At 36.9% G+C, this 27477-nt stretch overlaps 1 long non-coding RNA gene across 4 annotated transcripts, besides 1 other annotated feature; it reads right to left on the minus strand.

Moving 5' to 3' along the window:
- Positions 1-274: 274 nt before the first annotated feature.
- Positions 275-27477, minus strand: LOC101928912 (uncharacterized). Of its 4 annotated transcripts, none has more exons than XR_945252.3 (4): positions 27353-27477; positions 22833-22930; positions 11006-11127; positions 275-506 (listed from the first exon to the last, which is right to left on the minus strand). It is a non-coding gene; the product is annotated as an uncharacterized LOC101928912 (long non-coding RNA). The 4 variants fall into 4 exon arrangements; XR_945251.3 differs by lacking the exon at positions 11006-11127 and adding an exon at positions 13688-13787; XR_246024.4 differs by lacking the exon at positions 11006-11127.
- Positions 5153-5654: an enhancer, noted in NCBI's record as "NANOG hESC enhancer chr12:97628866-97629367 (GRCh37/hg19 assembly coordinates)". NCBI's record gives its function as "activates a minimal SCP1, AML or CMV promoter by ChIP-STARR-seq in naive H9 embryonic stem cells {active_cell/tissue: H9 hESC(naive)}" and the evidence as "EXISTENCE:reporter gene assay evidence [ECO:0000049][PMID:30033119]".

Consider the following 27477-nt stretch of genomic DNA (forward strand, 5'->3'; position numbering starts at 1 on the left):
AAAGGATGCTTGTTTATAGTATGAGAACTGAGACAAGCAGGCAAAGTTCACCTTAGCTGAAAATGTGAGCATCAGGCAACTTTTCAAATTTTCCACTGCTCTGCACACGTCTATGGATGCATTGTGAGTATTAGTTTTGGGTTTACAGATAAAGTTTTGTAAATAGGGGAATTTGCAAACACAGAATTGGTGAATAATGAGAATTGACTATATTGTGTAACAACAAAGTCAACACATTGGACAGCTAGGTCCTTGTCAACTGGTTAATTTGTCTTCTTTTTTATCTCCATGGCCTTTGAGCTTAAATGAAGGTTTTGAATATTCGTATGCATGAATGAATTGAATGAAGTACATATAGCTTAAGATTTTTCAGTGTAGGTTGTATATATTGCAGAAAAAACTTTTTTAAAATGCTTTCTTCAGCATTCGTGAAGTGATTAGTAATTCAACTGCAGTACATGGGGAAGGATGTTGCTTTCTTCTTATTTAACATCTTCATTAATAATCTGCAAAAGGCAGTAAACAATAAATTAATGAAATCTGCAGGTGATACTAAATTAAGAGGTGTTGAAAACACCAGCGAGAGTACTGTTATAGCAGAGAAACACTTAGAAAAGTTAAAAATATGAAGGAAATCAGGAATGATGGAACCAGAAAGATACAAGCTAAAAATCCAGCTGTGAAAATTTTAAATGCCTGGGAAACCTGGACACTAACACTTGTTGTTTTTAGGTTGCCTGTCTGTTCATTTAGCAGGTATTTATTGAGTGCCTACTATGTGCCTGGTTTGGTGCTATGTCCTGGGGATGTCAAAGTGAACAGGACAGTCAAGTTCCCTGACTGATTGAGTCTATGTTCCAGTGGAGGATAGAAAAGAGGACTGAATAATCAAGAATCTCTAAGGTAACTTGGGAGATGAAATTGGAGTTGAAACGTGAAGGATGAGTGGAAGAAAGAGCAAGGGGTAAGACTGCTCAAGAGAGAGCAATCTCAAAGACAAAGGCCTGGAGAAAAAAAAATAGTTGTGTCAGGCACAAGGAGCAGAATAGGAGGATGGCTGGAGCTTAAGGCAGGTGGCCCAGGGGATGGGGATGTCTTGTGACAGGTGAGAGAGCAGGCTGGGGACAGATAATGTGGTGCTCTGAAGGCATCGCAAAGGAATTTGGATTTTATTCTAGGTCCGTGGGAAACCACTGAAGAGTCTGGAGAAGAATAAGAAATATTATTTGGCTTTCATTATTGAATTGAAGTGGGGTGAATATATGTGTTGCAAGGAGTTCAGTTAGGAGTTTGTTGCAGTACTTCTGGCAGGAGAAGTTGGTGGCTTGGACCAAGATCTGGAGAATGAAAGTTATAGAAGGATTGGGACATAGTTTGGGGGTAAAACTGCCAGGACTTGCTAATGGATTGGCTGAGAAAGGTGAAAGGGTGAAAGAATAGTGAGGAATCATGGGTGACTCCTAAGTATTAGGCATATGCATATAAAGACAGGTCAGTTAATAGAACATAAGCAGAATGTCACATCAATGAACCTCAACGCAACTGGCATCTTGTAAGTGCAAAAAAATGGCAGATTCTCTTGGTAGATGTGATGTGAAAACAAAAATACTGTATTCACATGTGAAATAAACATTTATGAGATGTCTACCTAATGCCATATATATCATGTATATGACAACACTGAGGTTTCAAGTATTAAATAAGATAAATCTTTGCCTTAGGCGTGGAGATGGGGTATGTCCAAATCTGACAGACAATGGAGGCCTGCTTGCTAAGGGAAGTGAGCCCTGATTTTAGACTTTGAAGATGAATAAGAGTGTCCTAAGTAGACAAAGGAGGCCAGAGAATTTTAAGCCTAATCACCAATACCAGTATTTTAGTAGCATCTAGTAAGTGGTAAAATATTTCGGACTAATTCTTTCCAGTGGACAGAAACTCAGGAGCACTTTTAAAAATTGAGTTGTAATTTACAGACAGTAAAATTCTCAGATCTTATGACTACAGTTAGATAACTTCTGACAAATGCATACACCTCTGTAACCCACACCCATATTACGATAAACATTTCCACCACTCCAGAAAGATCCCTTAGATCCCTTTCCAGTCAATGCGCCTCCCCACCCAAAGGCAACTATTGTTCTGATTTATTTCATCAATAGATTAGGCTTCCCTGGTCTAAAAAATCATATGAATAAAATTATACCACCTATATACCCTTTGTGTCTTTCTGCTTTTTTTCACTCAGAATAATGTTTCTGAGGTTCATCAATTTTGTAGTACCCATATTGGTGTTTTTTAATAATTAAAATAAAAATAGAGATTGGGGTCTCCCTATGTTGCCCAGGCTGGCTTCAAACTCCTGGGCTCAAGCGATCCTCCTGCCTTGGACTCCCAAAGTGCTGGGGTTACAGGCGTCTGCCACAGTGCCCCGACTGTATTGGTCTTTTGTTCCTTTTTATTCTGGAGTAGTAGTCTGTGGTTTGAATATAATCTCACTTGCTTGTCCATTCTTATGTTGCTGGATTTTGGGTTATTTCAGTTTGAGGCTATGTTGAATAACGCGTCCATGGGCATTTTTGTACAGTCCTTTGTGCGTACATATATTTTTTATTTTTCTTGAGTAAAGACCTAGGAGTGGAATTGCTGGGTGATAGGGTAGGTAGATATTAAACTCTGTAAGAAACTGCCAGGACAATTTCCAAAGTGGTTGTTTACACTTCCACCAGCAATGCATGAGAGCTTCGCTTGTTCCACAAACTCCAATATTTGGGGTGTTCAATAATTTCAATGTAGTTACATTAGTGAATGTGTACTGGTATTTCATTGTGATTTTATTTTGTATTTTCCTGATGGCTAATGATGTTGAGTACTTTTTCATGGGGTCATTGCTCATTCATATATTTTATTTTACAAGGTTACTGTTTAAGACTTTTGCCCATTTTTATTAGGTTATTTATTTTTGCTAGAATTTATGAATGATTTTTGCTTCTGTGGTCATGAGAAGTTGGTCTGCAGTATTTTTTTACTTGTCTTTGTCTAGTTTCGGTGTCATGGTAATGCTGACTTGTGATTTGCTTATTAGTTTTCATAATGTATCCCTTGATGAGTAGAGGTCATTAATTTTGATAATGTCCATTACATATTTTTTAATTTTTTTAAGTTTATGATTAGACTTTTTTGTGTCTGTTTTAGAAATCTTTGCCTATTTCAATGTCACAAAGATATTCACCTATCCCTTTTGGAAGCTTTACATCTTTAGCTTTGATATTCACTCAAGTGTATATTTGTAGATGGTTTAAGGTATGAGTCAGGATTATTTTTTTTCTATATCGACAGGCAGTTTTTCCAGCACCATTTGTTGAAAAGACTGTTTTTTTCCATTGAATTGTTTTATTGCCTTGATTGAAAATCAGTTGAACATGTAATGTTGATCTACTTCTGGATTCTATATTCTGTTCTGTTGATCTATTCAACCATCTGTACCCTCAAATCCCATTGTCTAGATTATCATACCTTTAGAGTTAGTCTTAAAATCCACGAGTGTAAGGCTTTCGACTTTGCTATTCTAAAGGACTGTTTTGACTATGCTAGGTCCTTTGCATTTCCATATAAATTTTAGAATCAGCTGTCAATATCTGCAGAAAAGCCTGCTGGGATTTTAATTGGAGTTGTGTTGAATTTAAACATGTGTCATTTAACAATATTGAGTCTTCTAATCATGAATATCGTAAATCGGTCTTTTATCTTGGTCTTCTTTAATTTTTCTCAGCAATATTTTGTAGTGTCTTGCACTGATTTTGTTAAATTTTTTAAGTGTTTCATGTTGTGTTGATGCTATTGTAATTGGTACTTAAACATTTGTTTTTAATTGCTAGTTACTAATATATATTATATGGCCTTATATCCTGAAACCTTGCTAAATTCACTTATTAATTCTAATTTTTTTTTAAGATTCCTTGGAATTTGCTACATAGTCATGCTAACTGCAAACTGCAAATATATATATTTACTTTTCAGTCTAGATGACTTTTTTGGAAGGGGAGGTTATATTGCCAGTACAATATTGAATAAAAGTTCTGAACTTTACTTTGTTCTTGATAATAGGTTAAAATCATTCAGTGTCTCATTGTTCAATATGATCTTCTTAGTTGTAGATTTTCCGTATATCATCTTTATTCGGTTGTCAGAGGTTTTTTCTATTCCTAATGTATTGATAGTTTTTAACATGAATAGGTGCCAAATTTTATTCAATGTTTCTCTGTATTTCTTTAGGTGATTGTTAGGTGATTGTATGATTTTTTTAATTCTGTCAATGTCGTAAATTATATGGATTCATTTTCTAATCTAAACTAATCTTTTCGAGTGAAAATTTCCCTTTGGCCCTTGCATGTTAAGCTTTTAATTACTTAATTGTAATTAATTTTATGTTAATATTTAATTTATTACTGTATTAAAATTGCTAATATTTTATTTATGATTTTTCCTTTTGTATTCAAGAGGGAAGTTGGTTTGTAGTGTCCTTTTCTTATAATGTCTTTGATTTGGGGTTCAGGAAATGTTGGCCTCAAACTGAGTTAGGATGGGGTCCCTCAAATGGCATTTCTTTTTCCTTAAACGTTTCATAGAATTCACCCAGCGAATTCATCTGGGCTTAGATTTTACTTTGAGAAAATATTTTTAATTACAAATTTGGCTTATTTAATTGGTGTGGGGCTGTATTAGTCTATTCTTTCACTGCTATAAATAAATACTTAGACTGGGTAATGTATAAAGAAAAAAGGTTTAATTGGTTCACAGTTTTGCAGGCTGTATAGGAAGCACAATGCTGGCATCTGCTCAGCTTCTGGGGAGGCCTCAGGAAACTTACAATTACGGTGAAAGGTGAAGAAGTGAGCACCTCACATGACTGGAGCAGGAGGAAGGGGGAGAGGGGGAGGTGCCACACACTTTTAAACAACCAGATCTTTGGAGAACTCACTCACGATCACAAGAACAGCACCAATGGGGAAATCCACCCCCAGGATCCAATCACCTCCCACCAGGCCCTACCTCCAACACTGGGGATTACAATTCAATATGAGATTTGAGCAGAGATACAGACCCAAACCATATCAGGGCTACAGGGCACTTGCTCTTTCCTTAGTAGTTACCCTTTGCCCAGCTCCCTGGAGTCTTCCTGTGCAGATGCACAGCTTTGTATTCAACCAAAGACTCACGGGGCTCCCGATGCGAATTCATAGAACTTCTTCACAGCACTGGTCTAAGTCTCTCCATTACGTTGCCTGGTAAATACAGCTGCCTCAGCAGCTCTGAACTTAGAGATCTGTTTCCGTAGCTGAGCAACACCACTGTGCTGTTATTTGAGCTCCCTCACTCTGCATTACAGAGTGGGAAGTGCCCCCAGGAAGGTATGCTGGTGCTGGTGGGGCTCCTCTTTGTTTTCTTTTGCTCCAGGATTACATACCTGATGCTCAATGCCTGAAAGCCGTTTCTCTCTCTCTCTGTGTCTCTCTCCATCCATCCGTGTGCGCGCGCACACCCACACAGACACAGACATACCCACACACACACAATACTACTAGAATATAAATGTAATATATATATTCTAGTATATATATATTTATATATGTATGTGTATATATATTCATAGTCTAGTATTAAATATGAATGTGCATATATATTCATATTCTAGTATTAAAGTTGTTTATGGTAAGAGGGCTAGCTGGTACCAGCTACTCTATCATGAATGAAAGTGGACATCTTAGGAGCATTTTAGCTGAATGGACTGTAGTAAGGAGTCAAAAATCCCACAGAGACCAGAAAAAGTGTTCACATCAGAGTCTAAAGCCCATTTTCATGAACAAATTGTGCCACCCCAATATCTCCTATTTTCATCCTTATATTTGCTTTAGTATTCTTTAATAAAAATGACAAATGGAATCTGATTGCAGTCCACTTTTTAATGGTACTTTAAATTGTAAATGAGTCATATGTTAATTCTCTTAAAGTATTGCTGAGAACCTATCCAATGTTTTAGATATTTTATTGCTCTTCAGTAAACCTATGTGTTCAAAACTATTTATCAAATAAATAAATAGTAAAAAATTGAATGAGGCAATCAAGGAACATTGAATGGATATTTATTGCTATCAGAGACTTGTTTTTTTTTAGGTGAGATAATGTTATTTTTTAAAAATAGTTCTTCTATTTTAGTATTACATGCCGAAATATTTACAGAAGCTATAAAATGCTTTCTGGGATTTGTTTAAAAATTATCTGGGGACAGAGGAGAAAGTGGTTAAGTATTGAGATAAAACAAGATGGCCGTGAATAATTATAACTGTTTAAGCTATTGCAATTATTAATAACTTTCAAGTTATTGTTACTGGGTGTACACACACATATACCATAAACTTATGGTGCTAGGAAGTATATTCATTGGTAAACAGAGGCTGATATATTCCCTGACCTCTGAGCTTAAATAGCAATAAAGCCATTAATAAGACAGAGACAGTCTGTGACCTCAAGGGTCTTATGTGTTCTTGGAGGTATACTGGCATTGAAAAATAATTGCACAAATAATTTCTTACCATTGCATACGTCCTACAAAGGACAATATATAGGGGGATGAGACTCAGAATGACATGGTTGAGATTAAAGTCAGACTTCATGCCCTGATTAATATCTAAATCTGGAACTGACAAAAAATAGCTTAAATGTTCATCTCTCTCCATGACTTTACTTGAAGTACACTTACATATAATTTTTTGACATATCGCTATTTCTCTTTATGAAAAAAATACATTATGGAGCCATTTAAATGTTCAGAAATAGACCACAATGGATAAGCCAATAACAATAACTTTTCTTAGAAACAAATAATATGATCCTGTTTAATACTCTATTTTATCATGGGAACAGACACTTTATATTTTCCCTAGGGCTGGATTATAGAACCAGAGTTAGCCACAAAATGTCAATTCTCTCTACTCAAGAAAATATCTCAATCTCCAGGAGCCTTCCTAACCTCCTCATTTCAGTCCAGCATTTTAGAATGATTGCATCCGATCTCTAATTGTGTTGGGCAGAAACAAGCACTCCTAAATGTACATGACAGGAGGTAGCAGTGGTGGCAGAGGCTCTTTTCCAAAGCTGTGTGATTGTCTGGAGTACTTCTTTGGGCTACCCAGCCACGGCTGCTCTGATTACTTCCTTCTCCACATTTTTTATCTTGAGTTCTTTTAGCTAAAAGTTAGCTTCATTTTTTTAAAGTCTCTGAACTCTTCTTGATTACTTAAATGAATGTAAGTGGCTTCAGTATCTACAAACTCATTATATGCTGTACCAAATTTATTAATAAATTAACCATAATTCAGCTTGCTTCTGTATAATGGAGTTTTTGCTGGAGGTGCTGTAATTGGAAGAACACCACCAATTGCTTGTTATTTAATCTAGTGATTTATACAGATTTTTTAAATGCATATAATGGGAAACCAATTAGCATTAGTTGGGAGATTTATTTCTCAACTTATTTTTGGACTCAAATAATTAAACACAGCTACCTGAAATAACTGGTAATGAGCTGAAACTAGATGAAACTGTAAGTTATTAATTGACTCATCAACTCATATGACAAAAACTGTTCAGTTAATATTTTTAGGGATTAAACAAATTTCTTTGGGGGAAGAGGATAGACAGTGGTCCTAACCATAGGCAAGAAACTTCAATTTTCTCTTTCAATATAAACTTTGTGAATAGTTTTAAGCTCAAAATATCTAAAATTCAAAAATAGACTTCGATAAGGGTGGCAAATGCTGGAAGCCTGTGCTGTAACAATGCAGGGAGATTTTGTCAAGCCATGCGATTTTATCACAAAAGCCCATGTCTTGCAAAGGAGGGCAGGTTTCCATGTTTGTCTTTTGGTCAGCTCTTTGCATTGTTGATTGATTCCCTGTAATGCTGTTGTCAGTATTTTATCAAAAGTCAGATAGATCCCATGACTGGCATTTTGCCTTTTTAAAACATCCCCTTTGCCATTACAGAGAATTGAAACCTCGAAGCCAGCTGGGAATGGCTAGTAGCCTTTTAATTATTATTTATGAATTCATCAGAAAGAAATATTGACTTCTAATTAAAGCCAGAAAATTACTCCTGGAATAAATTGATAAAGGTCAGTTTCTTTGCAAAGAACTTCTCTGTGTGTCTCTATGTGTCTTATGTTATCACTATTATAAATAAGGCAGCATTCAATCTGTCTGTAAGAATAGGTGAAGATAACTAATTGTTATATTAGTTCTTGCTTTTGGTATTGAATTTCAATTAAACTTTTCTATTGCTTTTGCTCTTCTCGGTATTTTTCTCTTCTGAGGCTGAGAAAAACTGCTCTGTTTTAAAAACAATTAGAATGTACCTTTTTTTCCCTGAGAAAAATAATTTGTGTGGTTTTGGTCTAAGAGAATTAAAATGGTAAAAATACTTTAGAGTCCTACTTCCTAACAAAAGAGAAAGTCTTTCACCGATTATAGAAAGTTCTAGGAAAAGCACTGGTCTATTTTGGATTAGGAAACTCAAAGTAAATCAAAATACTGCAGTAATCAAAAGAAATAATCAAAGAAATAGCCTCATTTGAGATTTTGGCACAGTGAATAGATATTTAAATATTTAACAACTCTTTTTATCTCTACCTGTTCACAAGTCATACACAGGGAGTTGGGATGAAATTTAAAAACTGCCTATTGACTTTGAAATTAAAGTAGGTATTATGCCCAGGTTTTGAATAATTTCCCTTCTGTTTGTCAGTAGGCTCTGCTCTCAGTTTTCCTGGGGTGAAATTAATTGTGTGCCTAAGGCAGTGTTTATTATGTTGTATTGATGCTACATATACTCACTCATATTTTTAGATTATTGATCAAGTTTTGAAATCTATCAACCTTGAAAAAATATCTTGGGGATGATTTCTGGGAGCTTGTTAATCAAATTTAATGAGAAATTAAAAATCAAAATCTTTCTAAATTAAGCATTTTAGAGTAGAGGTTTGCAAATGGGGGTGAGTTTAGCAATGGCTGAAGATGTTTTGGTTGTCACAAATATGGGGGCAGGTGCTACTGACATCTCGTAGGCACAGGATACTACTAAACATCTTACAACCTACAAGGCCACCCTCAACAAGAAAGAGTAATCTACCCTCAAATATTAATAATACAGGAGTCAGGAAACCCTAATTTAGAGAAATATGATAAAGTGTTGTTCAATGATAATGGTGACTCAACACTAAAACTTCACACTGGGAAAAAGAAGTTTAAATAACAATGAGATGCCTTTTTCCCTTAGAGTAACAAAAATGAAAGGAAGTGACAGCATCCAGTCCTGGCTAAGATGGGAGGAAGCAAACATCCTCATTGGTGGAAGTAATCTGGCAATCTTTATTAACCATGTAACTTTCCTTTGACTCAGTGGTCTCCCATTTGAAAACATCAATATAAAAAGATAGAGCTTTTTTGTTGTGTTTTAAAAAATACTGAATGGCTGGGCAGTAGCTCGTGCCTACAATCTCAGCCCCTTTGGGAGACCCAGGCAGGAGGATTGCTCGAGCCCAGGAGTTCGAGACCAGCCTGGGCAGCATAGCAAGGCCCCATCTCTACAAAAACTTTAAAAAATTAGCCGAGTGTGGTAGCACGTGACTGTAGTCCCAGCTACCTGGGAGGCTGAGGTGGGAGAATTGCTTGAGTCCAGGAGGTTGAGGCTGTACTGAGCCGTGATTGTGCCATTGTACTCCAGCATAAGTGATGGAGAAAGACCCAGTCTCTAAAATATATATATGTATATTCCAACACACACACACACACACACACACACACACACACACACCCCTATACATATATATGGGGAACAAACCTCAACTTTAATAAATAGGGGAATGGTTTGTGGGGCTTGTATAATATAGATTATTATGCGTTTATTAAAGTGAGTTTCATCTATATCTAATGACTGTGAAGGATATCTATGATGTTTTACTGGGTGAGAAAAATCAGTTTCACAGTAACATGTATATTTGAAGCTCATTTTTATAAAACAAACAGCAAACATTTCTGTATGTATGTGTGTATACTATTGCATATTTTTAATGAGCATGCAGAAGACAACTTGGCCAGTGTTTGATTTGGTTATCTCATTGGAAGAGAGAAGAATGAAGATCACTGGGAGTTAATCATGAAGTTTTCTCTCTTTTGATTTCCTTTTCCCTTTCCAATTTTACGTTTCTATATTACCTTTGTATGTACAAACAGTGTAACAAAGAAAAGCTTAAGAAAAGTTCTTATCACCCTTCAGCAACTATTTTATGTTTAGTATTATTGTCTTGTGAACCTCATGGAAATTTATACTATGCTTAGTGTAATTACAAGAAGGGTAGTTAGGTTTTATTTTTGGATTTGTTTTTCTCTTTGTTGATGGATAATGCCGAAACTTAAGGTATTGAAAAATGTATATCTCTATCTACTTTTTAATACACTCAGCACATACTTTAGATATAATATACAAAATAGACTTCATATGATAAAAATAGCTGCAATGATGGCATACAAGAAAGGTGCAATCAGACCTGCCGAGCCACTTCCTGGCATGTACTCATGACCATCCACTGAGAACTGCCCAGGGACCTGTTGACGAAAGGGCATTGTTGTTTTCCTTGAAGTCAACCTCAAAGGTTAGGAACCTTTCCTGAATCTTTTATTATGTCTATGCTTCGGATAGTTTTGATACCTCAATAATGTAGAAATTGTTGAAATTTTGAGAATAGTGATGAAATTATTTTCTTATCTTGAAAATTACATGTAAACACTTTGGTGCATAAATTATAGTTAAAATATGCTATGGGCTATTGTTAGCAGAGGAAAAGAACACTGGGAAAACAAGGGTCAGCAGTCTTTTCAGACCTTAATTAGGCTAGTACAGAAACCACAACAGGAAAGTGTTAACTGATCCTCTTATCCTGGCCCCAACCTACCCCGCAAAATCAGCCAGCATTGCTGAGTCCATATTATGTCTCTGATCTTACTGTGCTCAGTTCATACATCTTGATTATTTTAATCTTAATGACAATGAGAATGTGCTATCTTCATCCTTATTCTATATAAGAGAAAAGAGACACAGAGAGGTTAGGCAACTTGCCCAAAGTCACATAATTACCATGGGACAGCCAGAGCCAGAGCTCCAGCCAAGGAAGACTGACTCCAGAAATGGTATAAGTAGAGTGGAAATTTAAGACTATGGAAATTGAAGTGTCTTATTATTTTCTTCCATGCATGATTTTTAAAAACAAACAAAAAAATCAGTACATTCTAATTCGACAAATTCTTAGCTTTAGTAATAGGTTAATTTGGTTAAGAGGACCCTTATGGATTAATTTAAGAATTGGTATCACCTACTATGTTATTAACATTTGATTTTACCTAGAAACTGGTCATAATTTTAAATAATGTTGTTTATTTGGGCCCAGTAAATAAATAATATAATTTTTTCAGCTTCTTCTCTTCTTTCAAATGAGTATGTGCATATGCATATGTTTGTGTAATTGATTTGGAGATTAGTTTATAGGCAATCCAGTCTCCTATAAATAAAAATATTGAAAGTTTAAACCATTTGGGTCATAGACCAGTCTTACTGGCCTGGTGATCTTGTGTCTGTGATAATGAATGCAGTTCTATTACCATTTAATATCTCCTTCAACTGAATTGTGACACCAATACATCACAGAATGTAGGTTATTAGGTGAATAAAAATAAATGGTTTGAGAGTGCTTTCTCACATTTGAGGTTTAATTCTCTCTCTGCTGGGAGTGTTATATTGAGAAGGACATATTTTGCAGATCTTTCAGCCTTTGCAATTTCAGTCTCAATTTCTGTATTTTTCCCCTTTATAATTTCCATGTTCCTATGCAGTTCTTCAGTTGTAATGCCCACCACTAGATTACTGGCTTTGGGGGGTAAATTTTGTGTCTAAGTTTTCTTGTCACTAGTGGGTATTTTTTCCCTTCTCGTTTTATTGCATAGATTTTTCACGTAGCACATAAAGCACATGTCCTAAAGTGAAAACACTGGGTATAGTCCATTTTTAAGAGTCTGACCCTCCCCTTCCCCCTGCTTTTTTGCCCCAAGGAAGAGAAAACTCAAGACATGAAAAATTATAACAACTCATCCACTGGTTTTGATGAACAAACATTTGTACTGACAAAGTGAAAAAATATATAAGTGTGAAGATCTTTGACAAGAAGATTTCTGACAGTTGAGGTTATCTGAGCTGGGAATGAACAAAGAGGTGGGTGAGAGGGTGGGGAGAAAGAGAAGTGGTGGTGTCTCACATTCCTAGAGAGGACTGTGACACAGCCGACTGCTCTAAGGTCAGGCTCCCTAAGGGATAATTCTTCATCATGGCACCTAGCATGATAGAGGATGGGTGGGGTAATATCTGCTATTCCTTCTTCTTCATGCTTTCCTAGAAATAAAATCAAATAATGTAACTACCCTGAGGAAGAATCAACACAACTGAATTAATATATCATGGGGTTCTCTTTAAATGAGGGTGATAATTTTGGGAACAATGTATCCTATTGAACTGGGGTACTTCCCTTTTGTTCATCATAACCATCTCTTAGTTACTAGATATGGTCTTTTGCAGAGAGTGAATAAAGTCAAATAAGATGTGGTCCCTGCCCCCTAGGGGTACGTGATCAATCTATTATGTAGACAAGCATTCCCAGAACTTATCTAGAACAAATCAGATTGAAGTAAGAGCTATTATAAAGTACATGAGTTATGTGAGATTGAAAGAGAATGAGAGATTAATTATAATCAGGGATGAGAAATCTAGGAAGACTTCCTGGAGGAGGTAGTATGTGAGCAGGGCTCTACACAAAGGTTAGGACTTTGGCAGGAAAAAAGTGGGAGATAAGTGGGAGGAACAAAGAAGAATGCAAATTGTGCCACGTGACTACCTCGAGATGGTTGAAGTAGAGGCTATCAGAGAGGCTGTAGTCAGATAAATTAGGGATCCAGTTAAAGGGCTCTTAGCACTACTTTGTAGATAACATGGAACGGCTGAAGATTCTTCAGGAAGGAAGTGACATGGTTGTATTGTGCTTTAGAATATAATTTTGTTTGCTCTCTAGAATAGGGCATTAGAATCCAGATACAGTCTGTTCGCTTTGGAATACAGCAACTACCATTTCTCTTAATTAACCCCTTGGTCAGTAGCCATTTCTTCGTAGCCTCCTTCTTGAACTTCCCTTGCTCTGTTGGTGTCTTCAATGTTTGTTTCCGAGGCTCTGTCCTCAGCCCTCTTCTTTTCACTGTTTTCTCTGGCTCAGTAAATGTATCATAACATGCAATGGCTTCAGCTACTGCAACATGGCTTCAGCTACCAAAATATGCTAATGATTTCCCAAAACACATTTCCATGTCTCTTGTCTTTCAAATGCCCCAAACCAGCATTTCCAGTTTACTTTACATGACCTGGTATTTTCAGCTATGTCCCCAAATGTAACTTTGTATCTTTTTCCCAATACCTGTTCTTCATTTGTGCATCATTGCCATCTACCCAACTGTCCAGTGAAAATGTTGAAATATCCTCAATTTTGTTCCCGTCTATAGCTGACAATTGCATCCAATTAATCACCAGTCATAAATTCTACCTGCTAAATATCTCTGATATCTCTTCTTTCTTCATATCCCCAAAACCATGTCTGCAGTTTAGACCAGTGCTTCTCTGCCTTTAGCATGCCTAGGGATCACCTGGAAAGTTTGTTAAAATGCACATCATGATTTTGTAAGTCTAGGGTGCGGCCTGAGAGCGAGCATGCCTCCCTTCCTTCCTTCCTTCCTTCCTTCCTTCCTTCCTTCCTTCATTTTTTTGTTCCCCCCACCCTAAGAATATACCTTTCTAACAAGCTCCCAGGTGGTGTTGTTACTCGTATTAGTCCATTCTCACACTGCTATAAAGAACTGCCTGAGACTGAGACTGGATAATTTATAAAGAAAAGAGGTCTAATTGACTCAAAGTTCCACATGGCTGGGGAGGCCTCAGGAAATTTACAATCATGGCAGAAGGGGAAACAAGCATGTCTTACATGGCAGCAGGTGAGACAGAGCAAGTGAACAGGGAAGAGCCCCTTATAAAACCATCAGACCTCATGAGAACTCACTCACTATCATGAGAGTAGCATGGGGGAAACTGCCCCTATGATCCAATCACCTCCAACCAGGTCCCGTCCTTGACATGTGGAAATTATGGGAATTAACAATTTGAGATGAGATTTGGCGGGGGGACACAGAGCCAAACCATATCAGCAGTACTGTTCCCAGGATCGTACTTTGAGTTGCAGGGGTTTAGAATAACATACATCTTTTGTCTGGGCTACTGAAGCAGTTTCTAGTCTTTTTGTCTTCTAGATCATTTCTCCACATTGACAGATTCCCTCATTTTAACGGTTTTTTGGTTGTTGTTTTCTAGAGCAGGTGTTGACAAACTTTTTCTGTGAGGGGTCAGTTAATAAATACTTTAAACTTTGTAGGCTTTATGGTCTTTGTAGCAACTGTGCAACACTGCTATTGTAGGGACTAAGGAGCCATAAATGAATGATTTGGATTTTGCCCATTTGTCATAGTTTGCCTATCTCTTGCCCTGATGAGGTTTAAATTTCCTAATGTGACTTACAAGGTCCTTTAATTGGCCCTAACCTAGAATCCAGCCTAATTGTCTGTCTTCCCCATGCAACTGTTCTTTGCATAAAAAACACTCTGTGATGGGTCACACTTCCATGCCTTTGCAGATGCTGTCCCATCTGCCTGGGATGCAACCTCAGAGTTTAAGCTCTAGCTTGACCATCACCTCCAACCTGACAGCTTCCTTAATTGATGGAGTCTCTTTCTCATTCGTGATCTTGAAGTATTCTGTGCATATCATTATTTTGGCACTTGGTGCATTTCAATTACTTGCTTTCATTCTTACTTGAGTCCGAGGCCTCCTTAAGGGAAGAAACATCTTTGCATAATGCATTGCCCAGCACTCAAGAGATGGCCAATATATGTTTTTGAATAAATGATGAGTTCTCAATAACTTAAAGAGCTCATTTAAATCTGGTGCGTGCTTAAGTTTCTTTTGGCAATAGTAACTTTCATCCATTGTTGATGCGAATTTCCATCATTAATCCAGTTCTAGGCAGTGTGGGTTCCGATTTTAAATCTTATGCAAAATGAAACATTGCTTTGTGACACAGCATTATGCATATAGTTGTAAATACAGAACGAGTGGCACTTGACTGCAATGGGATTAATGCAGTCTCTCCATTTGTTTGGCCAATTTGAAGGAGACAAAACACTTCTGCATTCAGCAGCACTACCCCCAAACACTATAACTCTTGGCATTAAAAAAACTGATTATAGAAGCCTTGGCTACTCCATCTTTTTCATCTTTTCCATCTTGGACATTGGATTGAAGGGGAGGAAGCCTCTGAATAAGGTGAAACAAATCACGTCAGAGTGATTGATGGAGGTTGTGCTTGGCACACCCCAGGTGATTGTGTTGGGTGGAAGAGTCATCAATTTGCTCCCCCAAAAGGATGTATGGTGGAGTCATATTTCACAAAATGTGGGGTGACATCTGCTTTCTTGTTTACTGAGAACAATGCCTGCTAGAATGTTCCTCCTCCAGACAGTTGTTCCCAGTTCTGATCTATCAAAGACTTATTTACCTGCTGATGGGAAGTGTTGCTATTTCTTACATTTTCCTTTGAGTTTTCATTTTGATTTTTGACAATTGTATATTCTTCAGAGGCTGAACTATTTTTTTTATTATACATTTTGCAGGTGGCAAAAGAAAATATACACTCTTGGTTACAGGTTTGAAATAGTTTCTAAAGGGCAGGGTCATTTTTCACGTATTGGTATTTTGTGATTCGAGAAAAAGAAGCTGAGTTCTTGTAACATCACAATCGAGAAAGAAATCAGGATGCACTTTGGAATTTTGGTTGGACTTCTGTTACCGCTTGTACGTATTCATAACAGTTTATATTTTTCAAGGTACTTTCATATACATAACTTCCTATGATCATCACAAAAGCCCTGGAATCAGGGAAGCAAGAAAAAAATAAAAGAAAAAAATTTCAGAGAGGAGCGAACCAAACCTCAGATAGGGTAAGACACTCACCTGAGTCTATACAGCTAGTTAGTGGCAGACCTAGGATTGGAATAATGACTCTTTCAATAAAATTCTTACATATACATAAAAGGGAGTCTTTAAAATGGTGTGTCTTTCTGGCCTATGAATTATGGTATATATGGACCATTCAAGAGGCAATAAAGGTTTAAAATCATAGTTGAAAATGCATTTTATTTATGTTATTTTGCCCTCTTTGCTGTTAGGAGAAATTGGGCCAAGAGCAGGTGGAAGTGAGTGATTTGTTGAGGTCATGAAGCAGGTCACTACAGTTACTATGGGGAAGTGACAAGACTCCATGATTTTGTAAGTTCAGCTCAGTCTGTTCATGTTGCCATTGAAGTCTCTTCCTCTTCATCCAGATAATGAAACTGCAGAGGTGACAGTGCGTGTGTGATCACGCGGTGGGTCTATATGTGAACTGTGGTGTCCTCTCCCCCTGCTGTCATTGTTATGTCCTGGAAATGCATCGCCTCTGCTTAGTGAAGGATTCCAGCCTTTGTTAAAAGCACTATAACCCTGAGTTACTGAGAGGCCAGGCTGCACTCAGTACAGTTTCCAGTAGAGGTGAGTTCCTATCAGGTTCCTGATTGTAAGCACTAGCAATTTGGTTTTTGTTTTAAAAAGTTCAGAATAAACACTGGAAATGGTTTTGAAATGTAACTTAATGAGATTTCTGTGGTAGCTAAGCATCAAAATGGGCACAAATCTGAGGTTGGTTTGATTGTAATATTGCCCCTACTCTTGGGGCAATATTAAAAGTACTTTCATATATATAAACAAAATGCAGCTTATGGGTTTTTTAAAAAATAAAAAATTGGGAGGGGCATAATACTGAGAGGAGATAATGTAAAACATCATTTATGAAGTATAGATTTTAATTTTCTCTGCCTTTATGGTTATAGGCATATATGTGTCACCACGTAAATTTTGAGAAGGTATTGAATCGTGTTGGTGTTTATTTCTGGTTGGATTGTTTTTGTCTATGCTATTAATGGGAATGTATTCCAAGTCATAATGGGACTTGGAGGATGAAGACACAGTGCCAACCAGAGAGGCTTATTCTTGAGGACAGCAAGGAAAAGTAAGCCTAGACTAGGTTTGGATGACTTATCCATCCCTGCCCTCACCATTCACCACTATAAAAATAAACCAGTGCACAGGCCATGGTGTTGATGCCCTGAGGGACACTGCAGAGCTAAACAAAGAAACAAAGGCAAGTGGGTCCCAGTGCCAATGGTTCCATTAAGCCACACCTGAAGACAGAATTATCCCTTGTTGGAATAAGCTGTTGGCATAACTTTCCCCTTTTTAAAATTGTTTGGAGATATATTTTATTATTTTGTACTTGCTGACGCCATTGATGACCAGAGTTCTTCCTGTATCTGTCTATAATTGTGAAACTTATTAGGTGGTAAGAAGAGGACATCTTTTTCTTTTTTCAGCTCTCTATTTCTGGTGCAATAGAGAGCACATGGAGGTTGATGACTTGGTTGTTGACAGCTCTTGATGAATACTCTCCCCAAGATGTGATTCATTTCTCTGGGTTAATTTTACAGTTTGCATTTGAGTTAGTCAAGAAAAATAGTATTCTACCAACTGCCATCCGTTTATCTTCTCCTTTTCTCTTAAAAGGAAGCAATTTTTCTCAAGAGGACCTGGTTTCATGCCTCAGGATATTGTAAATTCTTCTGAAAATACTTACCCCCACCCCTCACCCCAACACACTTCCGTCTTCCTCTCTAACAACCCATTCTCTGGCCTTTGTCAAAAACTACCTCTTACAGTAGGTTTGCTTGGCCCTACTTTCTGTAATTCCTCTTTTCTTCTAACTATTTTATATAGCATTGGTATGATAATAACATGTGCCTGTACATTGTTTTACAAATTGGCTTAATTTTTTTGGACTTAATGAAATATCCTTAAGATTGATACCTTTATCTTGTATTTACTTTGTATTTTCCTTTCCTTCCATGCCTGGTAAAATCTTGACCTCAATTCATTAACAGCATTGATCACTTGAAAATGTAAATAAAAGTGTGTTTGTGTAGTGGTTATGAGTGCAGACTCTGGAACGCTCCAGATAGCCTGAGTTCAAATTCTGGCTACTTATTGGCTCTGTGACCCAAGACATATTATTTTACCTCTCTGGGCCTCAGCGTTCTCACCTATAAAATGGGAATAATTTTAGTATCTATATCAGAGGGTCATAATGGGGGTGAAAGAAGTAAAAAGAGCGAAAGTATAAGAGTTCTACCTTATACCAACATATAAGGTAAAACAATGCCTTATACATAATAGTTGCTGAAGAAACATAGGCTATTGTTAATAATGTTCTGTGATTGATTGACTTTCAACGAACTTTAAAGATTGTCAGAGGGTCTTTTAAATTTCTACTTCTTCAGTGATTGTTAACCCTTGAAAAACAGAAACGTTCCAAATAAATTTGAATTCTTCCTGTTTCAAGGACACCGCTTATCTCATATTCTTTACACATTTATGTATATATGGGCATATGCATCTACATACACAAATTGTCTTTGTAGATCAAAGCTAAAAGACAACCATCATATAGACTTTGTTCAGTAAAATAATGGCCATATACCATTCTCATACAAAGAAATGAATTTGGAATGCATAATGTTGAAAGCCAGGGAATGAAAATTACCTATATTTTTGATATTTTATTATGTTTAAAAACTATACTTTACACTTTCATCACTTATTAAGCATATGATTTTATTCTCCCCGACAAAGTATGTGAATAGCAAGTACTATATTTACTGGTTTGTTTTTTTTTTTTTTTTTTTTTTTACCAGTGAAGAAACTGACGGATGAAAAAACTGACATTGGGAGGAACTTGTCTAAGGTCCAATGAAAACAGCTGGCCTGGACAACTCCTATTCACTCTCCTTGTTCACAACCACTTTGTGATTCTTACTTAGTTGGGCATTCTTGTTCACAATGCTTTTGTAGTATGGTTGGCCAAGTTTTCTAACATCTCCACAAAATCTAAACCAATTCGGACAATTCCAGGATTGGGAGTGATTAAAATTTTGAGGGGAAGAGAGGGCTCATCACATAGGAAACGCCTATGAACCAGGCACTGTGTGGGACACACATTGTTTCTAATGGGCACAGTACCCATGTGAGGTAGGCATTATTCCCCCTGTTTTATGAAGAAATGCAGAAACTGCAGTGCAATATTATAAAATAATCTATTCCAGGTTGAACAGCAGAGCTGGGATTTGAACCCAGTATTTTGTCAGTATCAAGCCCACCCCCTTTCTCTTGCACAATTCTGCTTCCAATATTTATAAAAAGGATCATTTAATACCTATTCTCAGCATTCCCATACACTTCTAATGGATTAGGAGAGCTTATGTAAAGAGATTTGGCAGTTGGTAAAATCTGACCCTACCCCATAGAGAAAATATATATATATATATATATATATATATATATATATATATATATATATATATATATATATATATACACACATACCACCACAGAAACTATTTCTACTGCTTTTTAACCTGTATGCTATTTTAAAAATATAGTGGGCAAGAAAAGGAGAAACTTTTCTAATATTCCTTTGAAATCTACATATTCAGCGAATTCTCTTTTAAGTAGAATATGATTAATTTATCCTCTCATTCTGAGGAATTAAAAACCGACATTTCTCTTGCTTATTCAATGCTTGTGAATAACCAACAGCCAGTATGTTAAGGGTGGAAAAAAGTGTGACTATGATCAGCCAGGTTCCTATTAAACAGCAAGGAGCTTACTTGGATCATGGCATTTGCTCTGATGACTTATTTGGGCATGTGTCCCAGTTTTTAAAATCTCTTCTTTATAGTCACTAGTGCAGTCTATTGGTTTAGGAAGCAAACGTGACTCTAAAATTTGCTGTGTGACTGTGAACAAGTCATTTCTAGCCTCTTAGGCCTTGTTTCTGCCTCTGAAATTACACATAATTATGCTCACAAAGGGCTTGGGGGAAGATTCATTAAGGAAATTACCACTTATTTAGAAAATTGCTGCTCAAGTTCATAGAATGTTTCCCCGGTGGGCTTAATGAGCACATGGCCCTCCTCAAGGTGAATGAATCACTTCTGTTTCTCTGGGGAGGGGCTTTTCTTTTCTTCTAACCTCACTTCTTGACTCAGGGTATCCAGGGCTAACAGTTTGGTTTTCTTAGAAAGAACACTGACCTATTTACCCAATCTTTAAAAAGAGCTTTGTGTCTTTAGAGCCATCTGGTTTGTTCTGAATATTTTCTTCCAGTTCATTCTATAGTTATGAACATGGGGGATTTAGAAAATGGCCCCCACAAAGGGGCATTAAGACAAGCCCCCTTGATGTTTCCATAATCAGGAGTGATTATTCACTCTTGTAATTTTCAGATATGATTGATTAGTCACGATAAACACTATTTTGTGCCTAATGGATTTATAAAGGCACATAAGAGTGGCACGCCAGACAGTTCAACAATCTTACCCACTGTTAAGAATTTTATAACCTCCTGTTCTCAAGTCATCAGTGATGACTCGGAACAAAATGCCAAAGACAGCCTGACTTGTTCAGTAATCAGGCGGGTAGTTGAAGATGTCTGGTTAAAATCCTCCTTGCATATTTGACTGTATGAACAAAATGATGAAGTAGACATTGCTATTATATTGGAGCTGATGGATGGAAAGACCAGAACATTTGCAACTTGTCTTTTTTTTTTTTTTTTTTTTTTTTTGCTGTTCACTGATAACTTCAGGCTTCAACCATACTCCATTCCCCATCCTCTTCTTGAAAGAGAAAACACATAAATTATTCTGATTGACTGGGAACATTGGCTGATAGAATATTGTTCTTCTTGTCTATTTCTAGCCCTGCTTGTCCATCACATAATGATCACTGAAATCAAGGACTGGGCTGGCAAACACTGTAAGCAGAGGCTCCTCTGGTGAAGCCTCTGTGTGATAAAAAAAAATTTGCCTTCATCTTTTCATTGATTTGGGAGCCCTCCTGTAGTTGGCTGGAGGCTTTCAGTAGGGACTACAAAACCAAACGCCAGGTGGCTTTGCGCACTCGCAGAGTCAGCTTCTTAGGTATATTTTTCCTAATTTTAGCATTTCTTGTGTTATATAAAATTTATAGGAGGCCATTGGTTTGGACTGAGCTCCTGCACTAGGCCCAACAGACTAAACCAAAATCGAGTTACACATGCTAAGGTTCTATATCATGAAGCTGAAACTAAGTTATTTATCTGATCTTCCAAGAAATCAAGGGTAGGGGGTGGGGGGTGGGGGGTGGGGGGGCCCGCGGAGAGAGAGAAAGAATGAGAATAGCCAAATCCCCAATTCAGTCAGCTTGACAAGGAAGTCTTCTCTACTTTAACCTTTACAGGGAAAACCACTTTGAAACAACCAATCCACTTATTGTTTTTTGTTTCTGCTTTCCTCAGTCCTTCTGTTTCTAAAACCAAACTCCTCTGCTCAGCTTATTATGTTCATTTGTTCTATTTTATAGGTGAGGTTTTGTCCAATTCTGGAATGCAAAAGCCAATTAAGATGTTTAAATTTCTTGTAATGTTGTCTTTTGACACTTGGTATTTCTCTTATATTCCAAACTCAAGCATGAGGAAATATAAGTCCATTTATACATGCATCAAATGAGGGTTTCATTGAGACTTTCTATATGATGATATCTATATGACCCTGTCTATATGATAAATATCTGTATTGATCTAGGGGAAAGAAAAAGATGTGGTTTATGAGAACCACTTCTTTTACTTCACTAAGAAGCAGAGTTACAGAGAGGGGTGTGTGTGTGTGTGTGTGTGTGTGTGTTTGTTGGGAATGGGGGAGGAGGAACAGAGACCAAAGCCTTATAGAGACATTGGCCAGTTTGTCTCTTCATTACAAAAATATTTGTTTTAAGTATTGAAGAAATGATGGTGACAGGGTCTCTGCTGTCATTCTCATTTTATTGAGTTGACAGTGTGAAAAGATAATAAATCTTGAGACCCCCAAATCACTAAGCTAAAGGGAAAAGTCAAGCTGAGAACTGCTTAGGGCAAACTTCCATTCTATTCAGTCATCGCTCTGCTCATTGAGATAAATGCATATGTGACTGCTTCCTTTGGAAAGGCTAATCAGAAACTCAAAAGAATGTCATTGTTTGTCTTTTATCTACCTATGACCTGGAAGCCCCCTCTCCACTTGGAGTTGTCCCCTCTTTCCAGACGGAACCACTGTACATCTTACATATATTGATTGATGTCTCATGTCTCCCTAAAATGTATAAAACCAAGCTATGCCCCTACCACTTTAGGCACATGTTATCAGGACCTCTTGAGTCTGTGTCACAGGCATATCCTTCACTTTGGCAAAATAAACTTGCTAAATTGACTGAGACCTGTCTCATATATTTTGAGTTCACAATAGATAGTTTGGAAAATTCTACTTTAGAAAATTTATTTAGGTTCTTTCAGTGATGTTCCCGTACTTGATAAGTAATGGAGGTTCTTGCAGGTCTTGGATGGCTTTGGGACCAGGGAAGAGGGGAGAAAGAAGTAAAGGCTAATTTATCCTATGCCTCCTGTATGCAAGGACCCTGCCAGGTACCTTCACTGCTGTCATCTGAGGGATTCCACAACTACGCAGGGTAGGTTGGATTCTCCATGTTTTAGTGACAAGACATCCTCAGAGAAGTAATTCAGCTTCTATGAATGAGGAAGAAAAAGAAAGAGTAAGTACCCGCATGGCAAAAGGTATGTCATAATTAACAAGTGCTTCTGGATCTTGGCTGCATGTTAGAATCACATGGAGAAACTTTAAAAATCCTTGATGTCCAACTGCACCCAGACCAATTAATTCAGACTCCGAGGGTGGAGCCCACCGTCAGTAGTTTCTAAAGCTTCCCAGATGATTGCAATTGCAGCTAAAGTTAATAATGACTGAATTAGTAATATTTAAGGTAAATTACAGTGTATATGCTTGCTTCAAGATTCAGAATCAAGGAATGCTAGGGCAGGAAAGAACCCTAAAGTCACTTAATCTAATTGCTTAATTATACAAAGGAAGATACTATAGGTGAGATAAGTAAGGTGACTGACAAAATTCATATAGGTTAATCAGGACCAGAGCTGGGTGTCCTCCTTTAAAGTTGACTTGTTTGACTTCTCAGAAAGGCTCGAATACAAGAACATCCATAGAGTTAATGCAAGCGGTTGCTTTTGGGGCTTTATTACAAATTGCTCTTGAATTTTCTTTTTTACTTGTGGGAACTATTCCTAAACACACCCCTATGTATTAATACCGTATTTTAGTATTTTAGTATCAGTTTTGATAGGATTTTGGGGGGTCGCTGTTGTTATTGTGATCTTTTCCACCCAAACAAAGAATATCCAGAAGGCTATGGCAAGAAAAGTAATTTAAATTTTATCAAGTTTTTGCATAACTGGTGTATCTTTGCTGTCTCAGACAAGGACTAGGGAATCAGAGGTCAACTTGAAGCTCCTCATTTATATGATAATTACCAGTAAGCGGTGGCCACTGATTCATGATACAAATCATTTGTACCTCTGGGACTTGTATGTTTACTGGGCAGGAAGTATGTGATTATGTCGTACTAATTAGTTTCTAGGTGACAGAGAGAATGTAGCACAATTGAGACTAAGTTTGGTAATTTTGTGCTGTTTAGTTTCTTTATTTACTTGTTATGGCGGAGTTTTTAATTTAATTTTTAATCCATAGGCAGTCTCACAGTGAATACACACCTGAATGACTGGATACTAACCTTCATATTATCACTTCCATAGTTTATAACATGCTTTAATATGCTAATCTTATGTAATCTTAACACCAGTCCTCTGAGGCACATATGATTATTATCATAAAACTCCCTTTACATGCTAACAAACTGAAGGCAGAGACATTGCGGTAATACTTGGAGATCCTACAGCTAGAAATGTAGCACCTAACTTGAAATTCACATCTCCTATGATTAATAATGATAAGGAATGGTAATGAACCACCAGAAATGATCACAGTTTAGCTTGATTTTCCTGATTTTCTCAACAACTAAGAAAAAGGCTCTGAAGATAGAAGATAGTGGGAAACTGTTGTTTTAGGGGTGGGAAATATAAATAATGTAGATCTTGGTGGGAGGAGAATAAATTCAGCAAGGTTATGTTTTCACAACAAAGAAAAAGAGCCTTGGTGGAGGAAAAGCTGAATGAAAAACAGTGGAATGTTATTTGTAGTCTGGCAGAAAAGAGGTCTGAGGAAAAGAAGGAGGAGGTGGTAAGAGCAGGCTTTAGAACAAAGCGCCACAAAGAACAATAATAAGGAATAGACAGGGAAGGACAGAAGAAAGTGAAAAATATTAAACAAATGTGGTGAAAAAGGAGTCTGTTGTTAAACCAAGGGAAGATAGGAAATTAGAATTAGATGAATCTTAAGTTTGGTTTTTAGTGATTTTTCAAATGTTCCAGCAGTCCAGAAACACTCATTTAAAGAGTAGACAGAAAGTCGTTATGATCTGAAATGAAACAAGGAGAATGGATAGGAACCACTTCTACCTACAGCATACTATTCACTGCATTTATCTTCCAGGCAAATGCTTCCTGAATATGTATGACAGAGCCTTTCTGACAATAATACAGAGAGTTATATTACCTGAAATATGGAAGAAACACTAGGTAGCATGGAATCCAAAGGCCCTCAGATATGGGTGATGTCAAAAGAATATTATCTCTGAGACAGCATATTTCACTACGTTTATAAAAAGCCTTGGGCAAAATGTAGATATTACAAGAACCGAAAACTATCGTTCCATAGGTGAAGTGTTCCATGATCTGATAGGCAAAATGTTGTTGCCATAGAAGAATAAAATTCACAAACTCTAAGAGCATCAAGTTGGATGTAATGCCTTTGTAAATCTCTAAATACTTTTCTGAAGAACATTTTCATAAATTTGCAGTCAAAAAAGAATTTGGGCCAGAGGTATGCTATGTATTGCTACCTGCCTGCTAGGTCTCTATTAAATAAACTTCCATCATCTTAGGCCCTCAGGTGGCCCATCATGAGAAAATCTGAAATAACTAGTGCATTAGTCATGGCTTTCTGGAGAAACAGAACCAATAGGAAGTGTGTGTGTATATATATTTTATGTGTGTGTGTGTATATATATATATATAAAATATATATTATATATATTTTATATATATACTATATGTATATTATATATATTTTATATATATACTATATGTATATTTTATATATATTTTATATATACTATATGTATATTTTATATATATATTTATATATATAGAGAGAGAAAGAGAGATAGTGACATATATTATATATATAATATATACACAGGGAGAGAGAGAGAGAGAGAGAAAGAAAGAGAGATAGTGAAATATATATATATAATATATATATAATATATACACAGGGAGAGAGAGAAAGAGAGATTTTTTTTGAGGAATTGGCTCATGCAATTATGGAGGCTGGAAGCTCCCACTGCAGGGTGGGCTAGCAGGCTGGAGACTTAGGAAGAGCCAGTGTTGCAATGAAATCTGAGGGCTATCCAATGGCAGAATTCCCTCTTTCTCAGAAGAGGCCAGTCTTTTGTTCTATTCAGGTCTCTACCTGATTAAATGCAGCCCACTCGCATTGTGGCTCATCCAATCCACTTTATTCAAAGTTTACCAGTTGTCATGTAAATCTCACCTAAAACACCCTCAAAGAAATATCCAGAATAATATTTTTATCAAATATCTGGGCACTGTGACCCAGTCAAGCTGACACATAAAATTAACCATCACAACTACACTGGTGAGATTTTTATATTCATTGACTCTTCCACTACCTGAATTCTCTTAGATTAGCTCTATAAGGGGTGTGTGTGAGTGTGCATGCGTGTGTGTGTGTGTGATCACTTTATTCCCAGCAGAAAGAGAGACATTGACAAGATAAATCAAAACTAGAGTTTTGACTTTTTACTGGTGTGTCTGGAAGCCCTAGAATGAATATGTGGGGTAGGACACAACTTTTGACAACAGATTCCAGTAGCTTTGGATGATGTTATCTGTAGAAATTACTATGTAAATATGAAGCATAAAGATGTGCATTTCCATTTCAATGGAACAACCTTCAGGTATGTGTAATTATGGAGAGTTACAAAAGTCAAAAGATGTTCCAAAGAATGAGACTTGACTCAAAAGAAAGGTACGTTATCACCATTGGTTTATGAAGTAATAATAATAATAATGGCTAAGTGCTTTACATGCTTGCTTTTTATCTAATCCTCAAACAGCCATTCTTACAGATGAGGAAACTGAGACACAGAAAAGCTGACTAATTTGCTCAAGGTCAAACATCAGCAAGTGTTGGGAAGGTTTTTGGGTAAGGAGGGACTTTATCAGTGGTGGGTTGCTCTTGAACCCAGTGGCCAAGTCCTCTTAACAGACCTGGTATATGGCCAACCTGCTTTTGCCCAACATCTAGAGAGACTGGTTACTGTTTATATCATTTTTGTAAATCAAGAAAGAACTGCACTGAGATGCTTGTTTGTGAGTGATGACCTACATTTCTTTCTAAGTCCTCCAGCTACAGTTAGGCCCACCATGCTACTTGACCATCATGTTTCTCATCTCTGGCTGGGGGCTTTCTCCATTGCCTCAATGGCTATTTCGAACCTTCACCGTGCTCCTCAAGGCACCTTACCATCCCTGGTCAATCAAGGATAATGATTACACTGACTGCCTCACTGATAATCTAGGGGCCAGTGGACATGCCCTCTCAAAACTTACCTCCTCTTCATCCCAAAATCATCCCCAATTGTACCCATTATCCTTCTTTTCATCCCTTAGTCACCTACGACCTTTACTTCAAGCTGATCAGTTCAGGGCAATCCAGGACGCAGTTAGGAATTTCATATGGAGATGAGAGGAGAAATTCTTAGTGAATACTTTCTGTTATAGCTAATTCTTTATTTTTTAATTTTTATTTTATTTTTTATTTTGTTGATAATAGAAAGGCCTTGGCCTCCCAAAGTGTTGAGATTATGGGGGTGAGCCATAGTGCCCTGCCAAAGTCTTGAACTTTCCAATATAATCTTTTCAAACTTTACCCACCCTATTTTTGAATTTCTTCATTTAAGACTGTTTATCCTATTTTATACTCATCCTTCAGATTTGATGCACAGGTTTTCATTTTATTATAATTTTGGCTTCTTTCCCAATCATAGTGATGACTTGCC

Source organism: Homo sapiens, chromosome 12, assembly GCF_000001405.40.
Source record: "Homo sapiens chromosome 12, GRCh38.p14 Primary Assembly".
NCBI lineage: Eukaryota > Metazoa > Chordata > Mammalia > Primates > Hominidae > Homo > Homo sapiens.